The sequence below is a fragment of the Homo sapiens genome, chromosome 15 (assembly GCF_000001405.40).
Source record: "Homo sapiens chromosome 15, GRCh38.p14 Primary Assembly".
NCBI classification, from domain to species: domain Eukaryota; kingdom Metazoa; phylum Chordata; class Mammalia; order Primates; family Hominidae; genus Homo; species Homo sapiens.
The window spans coordinates 74,857,852-74,879,073 of record NC_000015.10 but is presented as its reverse complement, the minus strand read 5'-3'; the positions used below and the strand labels follow the sequence as shown (position 1 = coordinate 74,879,073).

Below are 21,222 nucleotides of genomic sequence, written 5' to 3'. Positions count from 1 at the left end.
AAAAAAAAAAAAAAACCTTTAAAATCCCTAACCCGGCCGGGCACGGTGGCTCATGCCTATAATCCCAGCACTTTGGGAGGCCGAGGCAGGCGGATCACCTAAGGTTAGGAGTTCAAGACCAGCCTGGCCATCATGATGAAACCCCATCTCTGCTAAAAGTACAAAAGGTAGCCAGGCATGGTGGCAGGCGCCTGTAATCCCAGCTACTCAGGAGGCTGAGGCAGGAGAATGGCTTGAACCTGAGGGAGGCAGAGGTTGCAGTGAGTCGAGATCACGCCCCTGGGCAACAGAGTGAGACTCCATCTAAAAAAAAAAAAAAAAGATCCCTAACCCTAAACACCTTGGGGAAATAGATTTGGGGTTTTCTCCCATCCCCTCTTTAGGTCGCCCTACAATTAAACCTTTTTCTTTGCTGCAACCCGGTGCCTCAGCGTATTGATTTGCACATCTGGCAATGAACTTACTGCAGTTACAATCTGACACTATCTCCAGGTAGAAAGTGTTGGAATTAAATTAAATTGAAGGACACCCAGTTAGTGTCTGCTGCAGAATTGCTTGATGTGTGGAGAAACAACCCACACACGTCAGGTGTCAGAAGTATTGTGTTGAATGACTGTTGAGGGAGTCTGTAGTTGTGAGGGAGAAAAAAACACTGCTTTTTTCATCAACTCTCAAGACAACCCTGTGAGATTGTAACCACCTAACAGCTTCACCTTGCCTGCTGCCTAGACAGAGCCAATTTATCAAGACAGGGGAATTGCAATGGAGAAAGAGTAAATTCATGCAGCGCCAGCTGTGCAGAAAACCGGAGTTTTATTATTACCCAAATCAGTCGTCCTGAGCATTCAGGGATCAGAGTTTTTATTTTAATTTATTTGTTTGTTTATTTTTGAGACAGAGTCTTACACTGTTGCCTGGGCTAGAGTGCAATGGTGTGATCTCGGCTTACTGCAACCTCTGCCTCCCGGGTTCAATCGATTCTCCTGCCTCAGCCTCCGGAGTAGGTGGGATTACAGGCGCCCCGCCACCATGCCCAGCTTATTTTTTGTATTTTTAGTATATAGACAGGGTTTCACTATGTTAGCCAGGCTGGTCTTGAATTCCTGACCTCATAATCTGCCCGCCTAGGCCTCTCAAAGTGCTGGGATTACAGGCGTGAGCCACCGCGCCCGGCCTATTTATTTATTTATTTTAGATGGAGTCTTGCTCTGTCTCCTGTGCTGGAGTGCAATGGCACGATCTCAGCTCACTGCAACCTCCACCTCCCGGGTTCAAGCAATTATCTGCCTCAGCCTCCCGAGTAGCTGGGATTACAGGCGACTGCCACCATGCTCAGCAATTTTTTTTGTATTTTTTAGTAGAGATGAGGCTTCACCATCTTGGCCGGGCTGGTCTTGAACTCCTGACCTTATGATCCACCTGCCTTGGCCTCCGAAAGTGCTGGGATTACAGGTGTGAGCCACTGCGCCCAGCCTCTGGGATCAGAGTTTTTAAAGATAATTTGGCCGGGTGTGGTGGCTCATGCCTGTAATCCCAGCACTTTGGGAGGCCGAGGCGGGCAGATCACGAGGTCAGGAGATCGAGACCATCCTGGCCAACATAGTGAAACCCCATCTCTACTAAAAATACAAAAATTAGCCGGGCATGGTGTCGCATGCCTGTAATCCCAGCTACTTGGGAGGCAGAGGCAGGAGAATCCCTTGAACCGGGGAGTTGGAGGTTGCAGTGACCCGAGATTGTGCCACAGCACTCTAGCCTGGTGACAGAGCAAGACTCCGTCTCAAAAAGAAAAAAAGAGAGAAAAAAAAAGATAATTTGGCTGGTAGGGGCTAGGCAAGTAGGGAGTGCTGATTGGTCGGGTTGGAGATGGAATCATAGGGGGTCGAAGTGAGTTTTTCTTGCTGTCTTCTGTTCCTGAGTGGGATGGCAGAACTGTCTGAGCTACATTACTGTTGGAGGTGGTGTCAGCAGATCCATCAAGTGCAAGGTCTGCAAAATATCTCAAGCACTGATCTTAGGTTTTACAATAGTGATGTTATTCTCAGGAGCAATCTGGGGAGGTTCAGACTCACAGCTGAAGGCTGCATGGTCCCTAAACCATAGTTTCTAATCTTGTAGCTAATTTATTAGTCCAGAAAGGCAGACTGGTCCCCAGGCAAGAAGGGATTTTTTTTTTTTTTTTTTTTTGGAAAAGGGCTATAATCAATTTTGTTTCAGAGTTAAACTATAAATTCCTTCCCAAGGTTAGTTCAGCCTACACCCAGGAATGAACAAGGACCACTTAAAGGTCAGAAGCAAGATGGAGTAGGTTAGGTCTAATCTCTCCCACTGTCATAATTTCCTCAGTTATAATTTTTGCAAAGGTGGTTTCAAGATCAAGATGAGAAAAATGGGTCTTGGAGAGGTGAAATAACTGGTTTAAAAGCAAAGAGCTGCATTCTCTATACCTCCTCTCTTGTAGAATAAATGAATGATGTCTCTCTTGTAGGGAATTAGACAGATAGATGGGCAGCCACCACATTGGTTGTAATTAAGTTTCATTCTTTCTTCACCAGCCCAGCATTGTACTTGGCTGCAGCAGACCCAGAGCAGGCAGGACTGCCTTGTGGGGTGTGGACTGTTCTCCTCTGAGGCTGCAGAGAGCAGACAGCAAAGATCTGTCTGCTGCCCTTGAGGGGTGGCCATAGAGGCTTGGGGACAGGCAATTTCTAAGGGGATACAAAATGGATCCTTCCCCATCCTCCCACTTGTGTGCAGATATTTCCCGAAGTAAAGCTGAGCTAAACCCTAAAGGATAGTCAGGATTTAGATGGGAGAGGAAGGTGAAAGAAACAGATGACCAGGCGCAGTGGTGTGTACCTGTAGGCCCAGTACTTTGGGAGGCGGAAGTGGCAGGATCAATTGAAGCCAGGAGTTCAACACCAGCTTGGGCAACAAAGTAACACCCTGTTTCTAAATAAACAAACAAAATAAATGGATGCAGGGAAACAGTAAAATAGTTACTAAATGTGTATGATGCATGTGGGCTGGGCACAGTGGCTCACGCCTGTAATCCCAGCACTTTGGGAGGCCGAGGCGAGCAGATCATTTGAAATCAGGAGTTCAAGACCAGCCTGGCCAAGATGGTGAAACCCAGTCTCTATTAAAATTACAAAAAAAAAAAAAAAAAAATTAACTGGGTGTGGTGGTGAGTGCCTGTAATCCCAGCTACTTGGGAGGCTAAAGCAGCAGAATCTCTTGGACCTGGAAGGCGGAGATTGCACTGAGCTGAGATCATGCCACTGTACTCCACCCTGGGTGACAGAGTGAGACTTTGTCTGGAAAAAAAAAAAACCCCAAACCCACAAAAAATAAATTAATAAATGTGTATCATGTGCTTTATACTATGTTAGTGACAGAAACACAACAGTGAGCAAAACAGACCTCAGCCCTACCCTCATGGAGCTTTCAGTCTAGCGGAGGATACAGGCATAAAGAACCACCTATACTAGTATTAATTACAATCTGCAATGGGTATTGTGAAGGAAAAGTACAGGGCAATAGGAGAGCTTATGTTGGGTATGAGGTGATGATGTAACCAAGAGAGTGAAGGGAAGCTACTCCTGAAGAAAGGCATCTGAACTTGCATTTAAAGGGTAAGGAGAGGTTAACCAGAGGATGATAGTGGGGCATGGGTTAAGTGCATACCAGGTAGAAGGAACACATGTGTAAAGGCCCTGAGACAGGAGGGCACAAGGAAGGTTTGAGCAACTGAAAAGAACTTGCATGGCTGGAACAGTGGGTGGGGGTTGGGGGCTAGAAGGGGTCAGAAGGGGAGAAACGTAGGGGCAGATCCTTTAGGACCTTGAAGACAAACTAAGAATTTGGGCCTTTATGATTTTTTTTTTTTTTTTTTGAGACAGAGTTTCACTCTTTTTGCCCAGGCTGGAGTGCAATGTTGCAATCTTAGCTCACTGCAACCTCCGCCTCCCAGGTTCAAACGATTCTCCTGCCTCAGCCTCCCAAGTAGCTGGGATTACAGGTGTGCACCACCACACCCAGCTAATTTTGTATTTTTAGTAGAGATGAGGTTTCACCATATTGGCCAGGCTGGTCTCGAACTCTTGACCTCAGGTGATCTGCCTGCCTTGGCTTCCCAAAGTGCTGCGACTACAGGCATGAGCCACCTTGCCTGGCCTGATTTTTTTTTTTTTTTTTTTAACTGAGACAGGGTCTCACTCTGTCACTCAGCTGGAGTGTAGTGGTGCAAAGATGGCTCACTGCAGCTTTGACCTCCTGAGCTCAAACAGTCCTCCTGCCTCAGCCTCCCAAGTAGCTGGGAGTACAGGCACAGGCCACCATGCCTAGCTAATTACGTGTGTGTGTGAGATATGTATATGTATATATATATATATATATATATATATATATATTTTTTTTTTTTTTTTTTTTTTTTTGTAGAGCCAGGGTCCTGGTATGTTGCCTAGGCTGGTCTCGAACTCCTGGCTTCAAGTGATCCTCCTACCTCTGCCTCCCAAAGTACTGGGATTACAGGCATAAGCCACGCACCCAGCCCTTTATGGAAATTAATTGAAAAATTTTAACAAAGTTCTGTGATAATTTTGCCCCCTTTAAACATATCTTTGATTACAACATGAAGAACAATAGACCAATTAACAGCACTGTATTAGTTCAGGGTAAAAATGACAGTGGCTGGGATTCGGTGACAGCAGAGATGAATAATACCAGACAGATCCAAATAAATAAGGTGGATTTGGCCAGACAGTGGTTCATGAGTATAATCCTAGCATTTTAGGAAGCCAAGGCGGGAGGATCACTTCAGCCCAGGTGTTTGAGACGAGCCTGGGCAATATAGTGAGATCCCCATCTCTACAAAAAATCCATAAATTAGCTGGGTATGGTGGTGACCAGCTGTAGTCCCAGCTACTCAGGAGGCTGAGGTGGGAGGATTGCTTGAGCCCAGGAGCTCGAGGCTGCAGTGAGCCATGATTGCACCACTGCACTCCAGCCTGGGCGACAGTGAGACCCTGTGGGGGGCGGGGGCGGGGGAAAGCGGAGCTGTGGAGAGTGAAGCAGCCACCTCCCCCATGATTGAGGCTGTGTTGCTGAATTCCGTGAGTCACTTCATAAATGTTTGATGTCCAGGTTCAAGTCCCAACTCAGGTCCCAAAGCTGATGGGCCCAGGAACCCTCGTCCCTAAAACGATGAAACGACATCAGAGGGCGAGCAGCCCTAGAAGAAGCAGGCTCAGCTCGGGTGGAGGACTGCTGGATGGTCCTGGCACTTCTCTTTCCCCGAGCACGTTCTGCAGAAGAAGCGCTTTCCTAGTTCTCCCAAGGCCTCTGGCCTCACCTGTCACCCCTGTCCTTTGCCCAGGGATCAGTTTGGACTTCTTCCCAAACTTGGTCTACAGAGAAGTGAAGGGGCTGTTTCCTGTCCCACTTTTGAGAGTTTGCTTTAGAAACATAAAATTGGAAGGTGTCAGATTGATAGGCAGTTGGGAAGGACTCCGGCCACGCCTCTGGCTCCGTAGACGCTCCGCGCAGCCAAGACCCCTGAATCCCCAGCAGAGCGAAGATGTGGACGGAAGCCGAATGCCCACCCACCGCACTATTGTGGGCTGGGCGGGGGGGGGGGGGGGGGGGGCGGAGCGACCCCGGTGCCGTCATAGGGCCACGCCCTCGGGGGAGGGCATCGCGCCTGCGCCAGAACCGCTGCCTCGCTCCCGGAAGTGGAGGGTCTACACGAAGCGCCGCTGGGTCTGGGTGCCCGGAGGCAGCAGCGTTCGCGGAGTTCGCCCGCTGGCCCCCGATCACCATGTCGGCTTTCGACACCAACCCCTTCGCGGACCCAGTGGATGTAAACCCCTTCCAGGTAGAGCCCCTCTCCCGCCATCCAGCTCTCAGATTTCCCTAGGGCCCACGGCCGCCGCCCGGGCCTCTCGCTAGAGCCGGGAGACGTGGCGTAGGAGGGACGGGTCATCTGCCCAATGGGAGAGCGGGCTTTGAGGTCTGGCCTATCGTAACGCGTGAGGGGCGCGACTAGCAGCAGGTGGAACTGCAGAGGAGGCGGGGCGCTGAAGTGTTGGAGACAGTGGGGTCTTCTAGCACCCGGAGGCTGGGCTGTGCTAGGGAAGGGGACTGGAGCAGGTACGGTCGGACCCTTCCGGAAGTCTCCTAGCGTCAGGGAGAAGCGAAATGTGGCTATCGCATTCCCTCATTCTTGGATAGACACCTGTCTTGAGTCACTTTAGAAGAGGGGGTGACAGCAACATATGAGGAGGTGGTGAAGCCTCTGGTGGAGGGGAAAAATGTGGGAAAAGCCCAGGACACCTGCCACCGCTCCACCACCAGCCAAACTAGTGTATAAAGTACAGGAGAGCCCCTGAGATTTGTCAGGGAAAGAAAGATGGGAGAGGGCGGGAAGGTAGCCCAAGTTGAAAAATGGCCTTGATAAGAATTCCACATTTTGGCCATGGGTCTAGTTTGGAGTGGGTTTTGACCAGATAGGAGAGCCCGGGTTAGGGAGAGAGGAGAGGTGCGGGGGACTGTGAAAAATTCTGGACCCACAGGGAACGTTTGTCTGATGGAACTGTGTGTGGTGGCAACATAGTTGAGATGCACTGACGTGTGAGCTGGCCTGACTTTTTTTTTTTTTTTTGAGACGGAGTCTCGCTTTGTCGCCCAGGCTGGAGTGCATTGGCACGATTTCCGCTCACTGCAACCTCTGCCTCCCGAGTTCAAGCAATTCTCCTGCTTCAGCCTCCTGAGTAGCTGGGACTACAGGCGTATGCCACCACACCCAGCTAATTTTCATACTTTTAGTAGAGACGGGGTTTCACCGTGTTGGCCAGGCTGGTCTCAAACTCCTGACCTCAGGTGATCCATCCGCCTCGGCCTTCCAAAGTGCTGGGATTACAGGTGTGAGCCACCACGCCTGGCCTGACCTTTTGAACAGCAATCAAGGAAGAAACAATCTTCCTGCTTTCTTTCTTTTCCTTTTTTTTTGTTTTGTTTTGTTTTGTTTTTTGAGACAATTCTTGCTCTGTCGCCCAGGCTGGAGTGCAGTAGCGCGATCTCGGCTCACTGCAGCCTCAGCCTCCTGGGTTCAAGTGATTCTCGTGCTTCAGCCTCCCGAGAAACTGGGATTACAGGTGTGCACCACCACACCCGGCTAATTTTTGTATTTTTAGTAGAGACGGGGTTTCACCTTATTGGCCAGACTGGTCTCAAACTCCTGGCCTGAAGTGATCCACCCACCTTAGCCTCCCAAAGTGCTGGGATTACAGGGGTGAGCCACCACACCTGGCCTCTTTTTTTTGAGACAGAGTTTTGCTCTTGTTGCCCAGGCTGGAGTGCAGTGGCGCGATCTCGGCTCACTGCAACCTCAGCCTCCTGGGTTCAAGCAATTCTCCTTCCTCAGCCTCCTGAGTAGCTAGGATTACAGGCATGCACCACCACGACCGGCTAATTTTGTATTTTTAGTAGAGACGGGGTTTCTCCACGTTGGTCAGGCTGGTCTCGAACTCCCGACCTCAGGTGATCCACCTGCCTCGGCCTCCCAAAGTGCTGGGATTACAGGCATGAACCACTGCGCCCAGCCCTCTTTCTTCCTTTTTTAAGGCAGGGTCTCACTCTGTCGCCCAGGCTGTAGCACAGTGGAGGTCATGGCAGCCTTGACCTCCAGGATTCAAATGATTATTTGAATCCCACCTCAGTCTCCTGAGTAGCTGGGACTACAAGAATGTGCCACTGGGCCTGACTCCTTTTAAAAAAAATTTTTGTAGAGAAGGGGTCTCGCTGTGATGCCCAAGCTGGTCTCGAAATCCTGGTCTCAAGCAATCCTCTGGCCCCAGCCTCTCAAAGTGCTATGATTACAGGCATGAGCCACAGGACAGTCTTCCTACTTAAAGCCCACACCTTTCTGCCTTTCAGCTGAGAGCACAGGGATGATCTTTTTCCACCATGAGGGGCTGAACTGTTACCTCCAGAGCTCCTATGCCTCTTGTTTCACGTCTGCTCAAAACCCGTTCTAGGGAAGCTTGTTTGTGCTGACTGGTGAATTATGAGCCCTGATATTCTGCTCTGTCAGGATGTCACCAGGCACATTAACTCACCCTGCTTGTCCTTTATTTTGGTCATTGGCAGCTTTTAAGTTTCCTGCAGGTGTCAGAGAAGTCCTTGAAGGAGTCCTTCCTGTCATTCACAGCATGAGTTTTCCCACTTTGAATCGCTTCAAGGGTCAGAGCAAAATCAAAGGAGACTTGAACTAAATAATTATACGCTGTCAGGAGAGTGAAAATGTTTTGCTTCTTTCTTGGTCTCAAGGTGTCTTAGCCAACAGGAGCCCTCAGGGCAAATTCTGATAGCTTGTTCCTTAGAACATCAGGGAATTCTGAACATTCCTCTCGTAGCTTAATGTTTCTTGACAGAGCGTTTGCAAGGACCTTGTCTCTTATGTAAGGCAAACAGTCATCTCTATTGAGTAAAGAAAGAAGATTTGCATTTTTTTTTTCTGCCAATGTCTTCTGGTAACAGACTTTAATTACAAAACTGCTGTATAATACTGGGGTTTGGGTTTTAGTAGGATCTTGTAGCCTTATGGTGTATGTTGTATGTGATGATTTTCCATTTTTTATGTGTGTTTTTTTGTCCTCTCAGAATCAGAAATAAAAAGTCTGCTGCTGTCTGACAGAGAGGAAGTCAGTTGTCTAAAAATGCAGAGAGCTTTGCTCCAGTGTTAGCAGAGGGCAAGATAGTTCTACCCTGTATTAATAGCTGCTTGAAAGTCTTAAACCTCATCTCTGGCTCCAAAAATGACTGTGCAAACTGTGGTAGAAGTAACTTCTGCATTCTAGCGAGACAGTCTGTCCATCAGGAAGCCCCAGGATATGGCATGACAGGAAGCAGCTGTGGTCCTGTCAACCAGCCACATCTGGTGGGGAGTCCTGGGTGGGAAGAAGAAAGCTGGCTGGCTGGCTGCGATTTGCTCCTCCTCATCCTGGGCTGGGCTTTTCCTCTTGGCACACAGTGGTGTGGGGAGAAACAGCTTTGGATGTGAGGCCTCTGAACCTTCTCCTGGTCAGAGCTGCCCACCTTTTCCTTGAGATGGTGATGTCTGCTTCCTTGACTGCCAGGGCTAGGACGTTGGGAGGTGTAGCCCTTGGGTGCCTGGGTGTGAGCCCAGCTTCATTTACTCAGGGTGTTGGCACCAAGCTCAGGAGAGAGCAGGTGGAGAGGCGATAGACTCAGAAACTGTCACACCTAGTCACACTCCAGAACAGTCGTTTTTATTTCCGTCATGCAGTGACAGAAATGGTGGATTGCAAAAATATACCTAGTGTTCAGAGCTCATAGTTGACTGTTAAGAGCTGAGAACATTCTTAGAACTCTATTCTAACCTCTTCAGTTTAGAGATGAGGAAACCAAGACCTCAATGAGGATGGTATGTGCCAGAGTCATCAGTTGTTTAGCAGCAGGAAGGTGCTGACCTGGGTCTCATTCCCAGGACAGGGCTGTTTTAAAGGTTTTGAAGCTCAGACATTGGTGTTAAACTGCACTGGGGCTATTTTAGGCTGGCTAAGGAAAGAATGGAATGTAACATCATCACAGTTGTCACCATTCTTGAGAGTACTGGGAGTGGTGAAAGTAACAAATTAGTATTAGCTAAGCTACATTTTTTCTCCAGTGTGAGGGGATGGAATAATACAGATCTTGTGCTTTTGTTCTTTAATTTTTTTATTTTTTATTATTGGTTTTTTTTTTCCACTGGAGAACAATTCTTGGGCTTTTTAAGACAGTTCTTTAAAGCAATATATATTCTGAGTAATGCCAGTCCTGAAAGGTGCTCATGGTTCTGTGGTCAAATAGGTTTGGGAATTGCTACCTATTTCGTTTTTGTTTCTTTGTTTATGTTTTTTGAGATGGTGTTTCGCTCTTTTGCCCAGGCTAGAGTGCAATGGTGCGATCTTGGCTCACTGCAGTCTCCACCTCCTGGGTTCAAGCGATTCTCCTGCCTCAGCCTCCTGAGTAGGTAGGATTACAGGCACCCACCACCACGCTCAGAATTTCTGTATTTTTACTAGAGACAGGGTTTTACCATGTTGGCCAGGCTGGTCACGAACTCCAGACCTCAGGTGATCCACCCGCCTCAGCCTCCCAAAGTGCTAGGATTACAGGCGTGAGCCACTGTGCCCAGCCTGTTTGTTTTTTCAAAGATTCACAAGGCTTGGCCAGGCATGGTGGCTCACACCTATAATCTCAGCAATTTGGGAGGCCAAGGCAGGTGGATCACTTGAGGTCATGAGTTTGAGAATGGCCTAGGCAACATGGCAAAACCCCATCTCTACAACAAATACAAAAAATTAGCTGGGTGTGGTGGCATGCACCTGTGGGCTCAGCTACTCGGGAGGCTGCCACAGGGGGATCACTTGAGCCTGGGAGGTGGAGGTTGCAGTGAGCTGAGGAGTGCCTTTGCACTCCAGCCTGGGTAATAGAGTGAAACTCTATCTCAAAAAACAAACAAACCAAAATAAAGATTCACAAGGCCTGTTAGTTTGTTAAAGGCTCTGAGAAATCCTACAAAAAGACATTGGCTCAGCTTTATTTGACCCAGCATTTCTCAAGGTTATTCGACCATGGAATCTGTTTTCTGCTCAGTCGTTATATCCTTTGAAACTCCCAGTGCACCATTTAGTTGACTTCCTCATCCAAGGTTCTTTATTAAGTGCCTGCTTCCACCCCGCACTGTGGGCATGTGCTTTTATGACCTCTTCCTTGCGTGTGGTTATGATCGGGATGATTAGAAAACTTCCTGCACAGAAAGAGCTGTGAATGGGAAGTTAAGATATGAGTGTGCCACAGAGGTTTGCCCACCTCCTAGGAGGAAGCAGGAAACTGCAAGCCAAGTGTTGTTGATTTCACAGCCTCCACTGGCACACCCTAATTCCTCTGTTGGTTATGGCAGCTGCTTTGTACCCTCTGAGTATTTCGGTCTCTGCTTTGGAATGATCCAGGGTGTCTGCTCCCAAAAGTTTCTCATTAAGTCTTGTCAGGTGATGAAGGGGTGGAAAGCTAAAGGGAGTCATTGTACTGTCCATTTTTCAGCAGTCCACTAAAAATCAGACCACCCAGGCAAGTGCCTAGGGCTGCTTTCCCACTCAGCACTTCTGCCAGATTATCCCAGGCAGACAGCATTGATCTCAAGGAGAGGAAGTGGAATAGGTGGTGGCATTGAACAGAGAAAACCTTTCAGTGTTTGTAAGTTGCCAAGTCACACAATATCACTTTCACACATTGCCTCCTTGCAGTTAAAAGATAATCTCAGTGTTGTGGCTGCTTCCCAAGGATTTGAAATATTTCTCTCCTGTGGAAGGAAGAAGTGGTGGCAGAAACGTGATTTGGGTGTGAACAAAGTTACTTGAATTTCCCTGTGCAGACAGTGGGACCTTCCCAGAGAGGGTTGGCCCCAGCTTGACCATAACTTTGGGAATTCTTGGAATAACCAGATGGACCTGGTAGAACTTTCCTGTGTAACAGAGCATTGTCTCAAGAAATTTGAAAATGGCAGGGTTCTTACAGCTTCACTGTGACTACAGACAGCTGCCCAGATAGGATTCCTGCCTTTATGGTTGGCACCTGGAGCCAGGCTGGGTGTTAAAACTTGGGTAGAGAGATAGGTGAACTTTGACTCTTCCGTTAAGTCTTCTTTGGAAACACTTGGGGTAAGATAATCTTAATTTCAGAGAAATGGTAATATTTAACCAGGACAAACAAGGGGTACTTGCTGTTCATTCAGAGAAGAGTGCTGTGCACATTTGCAAACTGTGACCCATCCAGCAAGTGCTGCTTTGAGATGTTCACGTTAGTGCACATCACTGAGGTCATGCTGCTCTGCAGGCCTGTGCAGGAGACCATGGTAAATGAGCACAGTATGTGATCAATGGCTTCTGGCAGGAGAGCTAAGAAATACTCACTGAGGCTGGGGCGCAGTGGCTCACGCCTGTAATCCCAGCACTTTGGGAGGCCAAGGCGGGCGGATCACAAGGTCAGGAGTTCGAGACCAGCCTGGCCAATATGGTGAAACCCCATCTCTACTAAAAATGCAAAAATTAGCCAGGCGTGATGGCGGGCACCTGTAGTTCCAGCTACTCGGGAGGCTGAGGCAGGAGAATCGCTTGAACCCGGGAGGCGGAGGTTGCAGCGAGCCGAGATTGCACCACTGCCCCCCAGCCTGCATGACAGAGCGAGACTCCATCTCAAAAAAAAAAAAAAAAGAAAGAAAATAAATGCTCACTGAGAGTGACAGCACATCACAAGTGGGATCAGGGCAGTGTCCAAAGGAGCTGGGAGGGCTCTCAGGAGGAAGGGCAGAGACCTGTGGCACAGAGGGCTTGGACTGAAAGCAGAAAGCCTGGCAGATGGGAAAACAGGGTTATTCATTTATTTTTTGAGACAGAGTCACACTCCCGAGTAGCTGGGATTACAGGCGTGCACTAGCATGCCTGGCTAATTTTTGTATTTTTCGTAGAGGTGGGGTTTCAACCACGTTGGTCAGGCTGGTCTCAAACTCCTGATCTCAGGTGATCCACCCACCTCGGTCTCCCGGAATGCTAGGATTACAGGTGTGAGCCACCACGCCCGGCCAGAAAACAGAGTATTTTTGGGTGAAGTAGTGCCAAGAACCAAAAGTCGCTCCTGCTTGCTGTCATCCCTGTACTCCTGTGTCCACTCTTACCCCTGCACCCCCAGGCATGTCCTCACTCTTAGATCTTAATGGTCTCTTAGGGAGTCATGAGCCTGGGATGCGTCTGCTGCTTGTGACTCACATGCTTGTTTGGCCAGTCTCTTGAAATTCTCTCCATCCTTGGCCTCTTTTATCCTGATAATTCTCACCTTCCTCAGCCTGTTTTCACTTCCTGTCTCATACATTTAGGAGTATTCCAGAGTTCTTTTTTTGTTTTTATTCATGCTATTGGAAGTTCAGAACTTAAACTTTGTCTTTCTTTTTTTTCTTTTCTTTTCTTTTCCTCCCCTCCCCTCCCCTCCCTCCCTCCTTTCCTTCCTTCCTTCCTTCCTTCCTTCCTTCCTTCCTTCCTTCCTTCCTTCCTTCCTTCCTTCCTTCGAGACAGAGTCTCACTGTGTTGCCTAGGCCGAAGTGCAGTGGCACAATCACGGCTCACTGCAGCCTCAATCTCCTAGGCTCCAGAAATCCTCCCATCTCAGCCTCCCAAGTAGCTGGGACTACAGGCAAACACCATCGTGCCTGGCTTTTTTTTTTTTTTTTTTTGGAGAAATGAGGTCTCACTTTGTTGCCCAGGCTAGTCTCGAACTCCTGGATTCAAGCAATCCTGCCTCAACCTCCCAAAGTGCTGGGTTTACCCTGTTCTCACTTTATACCTTCATTTCTATGACTTCAGAATAGCATCCACATTTCAGCGATCCCAGATCTAGATCTCTAGTTCTCAGCTTCCTCCTGAGCTCAGACCACTATTTCAAACTCACACCTGCACCTTCCCAATCCTTCCAACCAGAAATATTCCACAGCTATCTCCAACCTGACTCAATATCTTCTCGGATCCTCTCCCTACCCCACCACACCCACCCTTGAAAAACCTGTTCCTCCTCTCCCACAGTCACTTATTTTGGGCACTCCTTTCTTTCTTTTTTCTTTTCTTTTCTTTTTTTTTTTTTTGAGACAAAGTCTTGCTCTGTTGCCCAGGCTGGAGTGCAGTGGTGCTATCTTGGCTCACTGCAACCTCTGCCCCCTGGGTTTAAGCGATTCTCCTGCCTCAGCCTCCCAAGTAGCTGGGACTACAGGCGCATGCCACCACGCCCGGCTAATTTTTGTATTTTCAGTAGAGATGGGGTTTCACTATGTTGGCCAGGCTAGTCTCAAACTCCTGACCTCAGGTGATCCACCTGCCTTGGCCTCCCAAAGTGCTGGGATTACAGGCGTGAGCAACTGTGCCTGGCCTTTTTTTTTTTTTTTTTTTTTTTTGAGATAGAGTCAGGGTGGAGTGCAGTGGTGTGATCTCAGCTCACTGCAGCCTCCACCTCTCCTGGGTTCAAGCAATTCTTCTGCCTTAGCCTCCTGAGTAGCTGGGATTGCAGGAATGTGCCACCACGCCCGGCTAATTTTTGTATTTTTAGTAGAGATGGGGTTTCACCATGTTGGCCAGACTGGTCTCAAACTTCTGACCTCTAGTGATCCACCTGCCTCACCCTCCCAAAGTGCTGGGATTACAGGCGTGAGCCACTGTGCCTGGCCTCAACTCTATTCTTTCCCTTCCCTTTCCTGCCCTGTAGTCTTTCCATTCCCAGGCCAACCCAGAGAGTTGCTGAGCCTGTGGGATTGATGTGAGGAAGGTCTCTGAAGTCCCTCTTGTTCCTCTTCTCCATCCCCAGCTGCTGTCCCTCAATTTGGTCCTCACTTCACCCATGTTGACAGTTGTGTCCTAGCCAGTCTTCCCGCTGTTGTCCTACCATGCTGTTGCACTCCCTTCACTGCTGATAGAATGATCATGTCACCCCTGACTGCAAATCTCTAGTTGTTCCCCGTTGCCTGTAGAGCAACATCCAAAGTCCCACAATCTGGCCCCACCCTCTTCAGACTGGTTCCCTGATACTCCAGACTCTTCTCTCCACACACCCCTCCACAGCCTCCATAACCTTCTCTCTTCTGAACACATGCAAGCTCTTTTTAAAGATTCTCGGCCAGGTGCGGTGGCTCAAGCCTGTAATCCCAGCACTTTGGGAGGCCAAGGCGGACGGATCACAAGGTCAGGAGATCAAGACCATCCTGGCTAACACGGTGAAACCCTGTCCCTACTAAAAATACAAAAAATTAGCTGGGCATGGTGGCACACACCTGTAATCCTAGCTACTCAGGAGGCTGAGGCAGGAGAATCACTTGAACCTGGGAAGCGGATGTTGCAGTGAACTGAGATCACGCCACTGCACTCCAGCCTGGACGACAGAGTGAGACTCCGTCTCAAAAATATATACATATATAAAATAAATAAATAAATAAAGATCCTGTGGCTTTGCAAGTGTGGTTCTTGCCTTCCTCTTTACTGTTTGCTAGGTTTCTTTCATCTCTCAAGATCCAACTCAGATTCCAGCTCAGTAGAGCCTTCCCTGACTCTCCCAGACAGCTTAATTACTCTCTCCTCTATGATCACACTGTGTCTCACCCTGTGTCTGCCCTCACCCTGTTACAGTGCTGATCATGTGCCATCACCTCTTGCCCTGGCTTCTGTGTGATTCTCTGTACTATTTGCTTCTCAAAGGCAGGAATCAAGGTTCTTTCTTGGTTTCCCTAGCCCAGTGCTTGGCATGGAATGGTTTGTGTATGGAGAGACTACACAGAGGTGCGAGGAGATAGTAAGTGTCCCATTTTGAGGGTAGATTCCTTTAGAGGATTGGTGCCAGGTCCTGGAAGGCCTTGAATGCCCGGCCAGGTGACTCAGACTTGCTTTTCTGAAGGGTTCCACACATTGCAGCCGGTGGCAGGAAGCGAGGCCTGAGTGTACCTTGCTCACTTACTGTTTTTTTTTTTTTTGGAGATGGGGTCTGTCTCTGTCACCCAGGCCAGGGTGCAGTAGCGCAATCATGGCTCACTGCAGCCTCGACCTCCTGGGCTCAGGCAGTTCTCCTGCCTCAGCCTCCAGTGTAGCTGGGACCACAGGTACCCACGACGAGACCTGGCTGATTTTTTTTTTTTTTTGAGACGGAGTCTCACTCTGTTGCCCAGGCTGGAGTGCAATGGAGTGATCTCGACTCACTGCAATCTCCCCGCCTCCCAGGTTCAAGTGATTCTCTTGCCTCAGCTTCCCAAGTAGCTGGGGTTACAGGCGCCTGCCACCACACCCGGCTAATTTTTGTATTTTTAGTAGAGACTGGGTTTCATCATGCTGGCCAGGCTGGTCTCAAACTCCCAACCTCAGGTGATCCGTCCACCTCAGCCTCCCAAAATGCTGGGATTACAGGTATGAGCCACTGCACCCGGCCTAATTTTCGTATTCTCTGTAGAGACGGGGTTTCATCATGATGCCCAGGCTGGTCTTAACTCCTGGGCTCAAGCGATTCTCTCACCTCAGCCTCTTAGAGTGCTGGGATTACAGTCATGAGCCATGTGTCCAGCCTATTTTTTTTTCTTTCTCTTTTTAAAAATATGTGTGTGTGTGTGTGTGTGTGTGTGTGTGTGTGTGTGTGTGTGTATGGTTTGTTTTTTGTTTTTTTTTTTTTTTTTGAGATGGAGTCTCGCCCTGTCACCCAGGCTGGAGTGCAGTGGCACGATCTCAGCTCACTGCAACCTTTACCTCCCTGGTTCAAACGGTTCTCCTGCCTCAGCCTCCCAAGTAGCTGGGATTATGTATATGTGTTTTTAAAATCAAAATAACATGACCATATTATAGAAAATTTGGAAAACAGAAAATAAGTCTTCCATATTTCTACCAGTCATTTGCAACCATTGTTAATTATTTATTTATTTATTGAGATGGAGTCTCACTCTGTCCCCCAGACTGGAGTGCAGTGGTGTGATCTCGGCTCACTGCAGCCTCTGCCTCCTGGGTTCAAGCAGTTTTCCTGCCTCAGCCTCCCAAGTACCTGGAATTAGAGGCATGCACCACCGTGCCCTGCTAATTTTTGCATTTTTAGTAGTGAGAGGTTTCACCATGTTGGCCAGGGTGGTCTTGAACTCCTGATCTCAAGTGATCTGCCCACCTTGGCCTCCCAAAGTGCTAGAATTATAGGTGTGAGCCATTGCACCTGGCCAGGAATTTTTTTTTTTTTTTTTTTTTTTTTTGGAGACAGAGTCTCACTCTGTCACCCAGGCTGGAGTGCAGTGATGTGATCTCGACTCACTGCAACCTCTACCTCCCAGGTTCAAGCGATTCTCCTGCCTCAGCCTCCAAAGTAGCTGGGAATACAGGCGCATGCCACCACGCCTGGCTAACTTTTGTATTTTTTTTTTTTTTGGTAGAGACGGGTTCTCACCTTGTTGGCCAGGCTGGTCTCAAACTCCTGACCTCAAATGATCCGCCTGCCTCGGCCTCCCAAAGTGTTGGGATTATAGGCATGAGCTACCGGGCCTGGCCCATAATTTAGTATTGATGTAACAAAGCCTTTTCTTTTCTTTTCTTTCTTTCTTTTTTTTTTTTTTTTTTTTGAGACAGAGTCTTGCTCTGTTGCCCAGGCTGGAGTGCAGTGGTGTGACCTCGGCTCGCTGCAAGCTCCACCTCCTGGGTTCACACCATTCTCCCACCTCAGCCTCCAGAGTAGCTGGGACTACAGGCGCCCGCCACCACGCCCGGCTAATTTGGTTTTGTATTTTTAGTAGAGACAGGGTTTCACCGTGTTAGCCAGGATGGTCTCGATCTCCTGACCTCGTGATCTGCCCACCTTGGCCTCCCAAAGTGCTGCGATTATAGGCGTGAGCCACCATGCCCGACCAGAAAGCCTGTTCTGTATTGCTGCACCATCTTCATAGCTGTGATGCTTAGTGGCGTTGTGGGCCTTCAAGGGGATGCGTACCAAAACATACCTGTGGTCTCTGTCATTGGATGTTTGTTTCGTGCTTTTTTCTCCTATTGTAAGTCCTGGTCCTATGAATATCATTGCAGGTACAGATTTTTACATGTTTTTGTGATATTTTCTTAGGACAGATTCTCAGGTATCAGGTCAGAGAGCACCAAGGTCAATTGTGGCTCTTTGTGCACTGGGACCCAGCTAGCCACTCTGGGGGTGATTGCTTTTTCGTGCTCTGTGACACTCAGCCTCATCTCCAAAGCCAATAGGACTTCACAGAGGTTCCAGAGTGTTGCTGACTCTCTGCCTCTCAGCATGACCCTGAATTTTTAATGTTTTAAAATTTATTTATTTATTTATTTTTCCCTGAGTTGAGTCTCGCTCTGTTGCCCAGGCTGGAGTGCAGTGGCACGATCTTGGCTCACTGCAACCTCTGCCTCCTGGGTTCAAGTGATTCTCCTGCTGCAGCCTCCTGAGTAGCTGGGATTACAGGCACCCGCCACCATGCCTGGCTAATTTTTGTACTTTTAGGAGAGATGGGGTTTCACCTTGTTAGCCAGACTGGTCTTACACTCCTGACCTCAGGTGATCTACCCGCCTCAGCCTCCCAAAGTGCTGGGATTACAGGCATGAGCCACCGTGCCTGGCCAGAATTTATTTATTATTATTATTATTGTTTATTTTTTTGAGACAGAGTCTTGCTCTGCTGCCCAGGCTGCAGTGCAGTGCTGCGCAGTGATCTTGGCTTACTGCAGCCTCCTCCTGGGTTCAAGTGATTCTCCTGCCTCAGCTTCCCAAGTAGCTGGGACTACAGGCATGCACCACCACGCCTGGCTTTTTTTTTTTTTTTTTTTTTAAATGGAGTCTTCCTCTGTATCCCAGGCTGGAGGGCAATGGCACAATCTTGGCTCACTGCAACCTCCGCCTCCCAGTTCAAGCGATTCTCCTGCCTCAGCCTTCCAAGTAGCTGGGATTACAGGCGCCTGCCACCACGCCCAGCTAATTTTGTATTTTTAGTAGATATGGGGTTTTGCCATCTTGGCCAGGCTGGTCTCAAACTCCTGACCTCAGGTGACCCACCTGCCTCAGCTTCCCAAAGTGCTGGGATTACAGGCGTGAGCCATCACGCCTGGCCAATTTTTGTATTTTTAATAGAGATGGGGTTTCACCATGTTGGCCATGTTGGCTGGTCTAGAACTCCTGGTCTCAGGTGATCCTCCTGCCTTGGCCTCCCAAAGTGCTGGGATTACAGGTGTGAGCCACCAGACCCGGCCAATTTTTGTATTTTTAATAGACATGGGGTTTTACCATGTTGGCCATATTGGCTGGTCTGAAACTCCTGTTCTCAGGTGATCCGCCTGCCTTGGCCTCCCAAAGTGCAGGGATTACAGGCCTGAGCCACCGCGCCAGGCCTAAACTTATTTTTTATTTTTACTATGAAAAAAAAGAGACAGGGTCTCGCTATGTTGCCCAGGCTGATCTCAAACTGGATTTAAGCAACCCTCTCACCTCAGCCTCCCAAAGTGCTGGATTATAAGCTTGAGCCACCGTGCCCGGCTGGCCCTGAATTTTTTTTAGTCCGTGAGATAAGATATTTATTTAATGTGTTTATTTGGAGCCTGAAATAAACCTCACACTGGGAGCCTGGGTGGAATACAGGAAGGGAAGGCAAGGAAAAGTCACAGAGAGCTCAGACAGCCAGCACCTGTGAAACGCATGGTATGAGGTTTCCAAACCAGTGACAAGTGTGGTTTTCAATTAGCCGGGCGTGGTGGTATGTGCCTGTAATCCTAGCTACTCAGGAGGCTGAGGCACGAGAATCGCTTCAACCTGGGAGGTGGAGATTGTAGTGAGCAGAGATTGCGCCACTGCACTCCAGCCTGGGCAACAGAGCGAGACTCCATCTCAAAAAAAAAAAAAAAAAAGTGTGGTTTTCATGGCCGTTCCTGGGAGAGCTGCAGCCTAACTCTGCCTGCCTCTCTTCCCTCACTGCCTTTACCCCCCAGCTATGTGGAAGTGCCCCCCTGCCTTGCAGTGGTGGGGGGCCTTACTGATCTGGGCCTTTGCTGTCTGTCTTCCTTCTACAACCTGGCCTTTCTTGAAGCCCACCGAGGTGTCTCCCCTTCTTCCTGTTTTTTGCTCTGCACCTTGCCGTGGTCCCCAGCACCCCTTCAGGGGGTGCCCACTTGTCTCAGATACCAGATTGTGGACTCCAGAAGGGTGAGAGCTGTGTCTTATGCATTGTGGTATGTTCCTCACACTGTAGCTGGTTGCTGAATGAAAAGAACTGAGGTTAAGAGCCTTTTATTTGTTACAAATTCAGTAAAGGGCAATAGCCACTCTGAGTGGCACTGCAGGGGAGTTTTAGGTTATTCCTCCTTGTAGGTGAAACTTAGCCCTCACCATCCTACTTGACCCATTTAAAAGCCAGTTAGGACCGGGCATGGTGGCTCACGCCTGAATCCCACCACTTTCGGAGGCTGAGGTGGGCGGATCACAAGGTCAGGAAATCAAGACCATCCTGGCTAACACAGTGAAACCTATCTCTACTAAAAATACAAAAAAAGTAGCCGGGCGTGGTGGCAGGTGCCTGTAGTCCCAGCTACTGGGGAGGCTGAGGCAGGAGAATGGTGTGAACCCGGGAGAGCTTGCAGTGAGCTGAGATCGCGCCACTGCACTCCAGCCTGGGTAACAGAGCAAGACTCCGTCTCAAAAAAAAAAAAAAAAAAAAAAAAGAACCAGCTCTTTGAAGGAAAGAAGGAAGCAAGGAAACAAGCAGAAGCCCTTGTCAGTGTCCTCCTGGAGTGGGGCTCATTCATCCTGCCACATATTCACTGAGCGCCTTCAATTTGTCAGGCTCCGTACCAGGCTTCGAGATGCTTTGCCCCACTCAGCTTTACCATCTTGTGTCCCTGGAGACAGACTTGGATTGAAAATCTGGCTGAGCCACTACCCCTGAGATCTTAAGACAAGCTACTTCCCCTCTCTGAGCTTGAGCTTTTCCAGCTGCAAAATATAAATATTCCTTCCTCATAAGGCTGTTGTGAGGGTTAAATGAGGAGCTGTATTGTAGCTTTTCTCAGCCAGGGTCCCGAGCTGAGCCACAGAACAGAGAAGCTGATTGGAGTGACTCTCTCAGCTCTCTCAAGTATGGAGTATAACTAGTACCACCCTAGGTACCAGGAGAGCAGTAAAGTCATTATAAATAGTGGATTAGGGGGTCATAAGTCTTTTGAAGAACCAGGTCAAGGAAGGCCAGTAAAACCCTCTTTTCTGACAACTCGACACAGTGGCTAGTTCTGGGGTGACTAGAATTTCACAGTAGCATCATTGTGTGGTGAGTTTGGCACACCGTAGACACTAAGTAAATGTCAGCTTCCTTCCCCAGTCCCTCCTCCTCCCTCCCTTTCTTGCCAGGGCTCAGCTTGTCTTGAAGCCACGCACATCTTTCAGAAAGAGCCTAGGTTTTCTTAGATGGGAAAATATCCACTTGTCTCAGCGTTTTAGGTTGCTCTTCCTAGGCAACGTGCTTCCAGGCCCTTGGGCTACTGCTGTGATGCAGGTGCCTCCTGTTTGCTATGCCCTGGCACTTGGGCAGTGCTTTCTAAAAAGAGGGAGGCCCTACAGCGTGCTGCGTGTCTTCTCAAACCGCTGAGCTGCTGTGCTGCCATAGGCCCTTCACCAAGCACC

At 48.8% G+C, this 21,222-nt stretch overlaps 1 protein-coding gene across 2 annotated transcripts in view, besides 5 other annotated features; it reads left to right on the top strand.

Annotated features, from left to right (window-relative positions):
- The first annotated feature begins 5,708 nt into the window (after window positions 1–5,708).
- SCAMP2 (secretory carrier membrane protein 2) overlaps window positions 5,709–21,222 on the top strand; it is a 29,636-nt gene continuing 14,122 nt past the window's right edge. For both annotated transcript variants that reach the window (NM_005697.5, NM_001320778.2), the window contains exon 1: window positions 5,709–5,875. In NM_005697.5, coding sequence (NP_005688.2) covers window positions 5,819–5,875 — 57 coding nt within the window. In that variant the 5' untranslated portion in view covers window positions 5,709–5,818. The remainder of the gene's footprint in view (window positions 5,876–21,222) is intronic.
- Window positions 7,526–8,511: an enhancer, noted in NCBI's record as "NANOG-H3K27ac-H3K4me1 hESC enhancer chr15:75162904-75163889 (GRCh37/hg19 assembly coordinates)". NCBI's record gives its function as "activates a minimal SCP1, AML or CMV promoter by ChIP-STARR-seq in naive H9 embryonic stem cells {active_cell/tissue: H9 hESC(naive)}" and the evidence as "EXISTENCE:reporter gene assay evidence [ECO:0000049][PMID:30033119]".
- Window positions 9,027–9,537: an enhancer, noted in NCBI's record as "H3K27ac-H3K4me1 hESC enhancer chr15:75161878-75162388 (GRCh37/hg19 assembly coordinates)". NCBI's record gives its function as "activates a minimal SCP1, AML or CMV promoter by ChIP-STARR-seq in primed H9 embryonic stem cells {active_cell/tissue: H9 hESC(primed)}" and the evidence as "EXISTENCE:reporter gene assay evidence [ECO:0000049][PMID:30033119]".
- Window positions 12,583–13,514: an enhancer, noted in NCBI's record as "H3K4me1 hESC enhancer chr15:75157901-75158832 (GRCh37/hg19 assembly coordinates)". NCBI's record gives its function as "activates a minimal SCP1, AML or CMV promoter by ChIP-STARR-seq in naive H9 embryonic stem cells {active_cell/tissue: H9 hESC(naive)}" and the evidence as "EXISTENCE:reporter gene assay evidence [ECO:0000049][PMID:30033119]".
- Window positions 19,484–19,593: an enhancer, noted in NCBI's record as "active region_9814". NCBI's record gives its function as "activates an Ori minimal core promoter by ATAC-STARR-seq in GM12878 lymphoblastoid cells {active_cell/tissue: GM12878}" and the evidence as "EXISTENCE:reporter gene assay evidence [ECO:0000049][PMID:35858748]".
- Window positions 20,972–21,041: an enhancer, noted in NCBI's record as "active region_9813". NCBI's record gives its function as "activates an Ori minimal core promoter by ATAC-STARR-seq in GM12878 lymphoblastoid cells {active_cell/tissue: GM12878}" and the evidence as "EXISTENCE:reporter gene assay evidence [ECO:0000049][PMID:35858748]".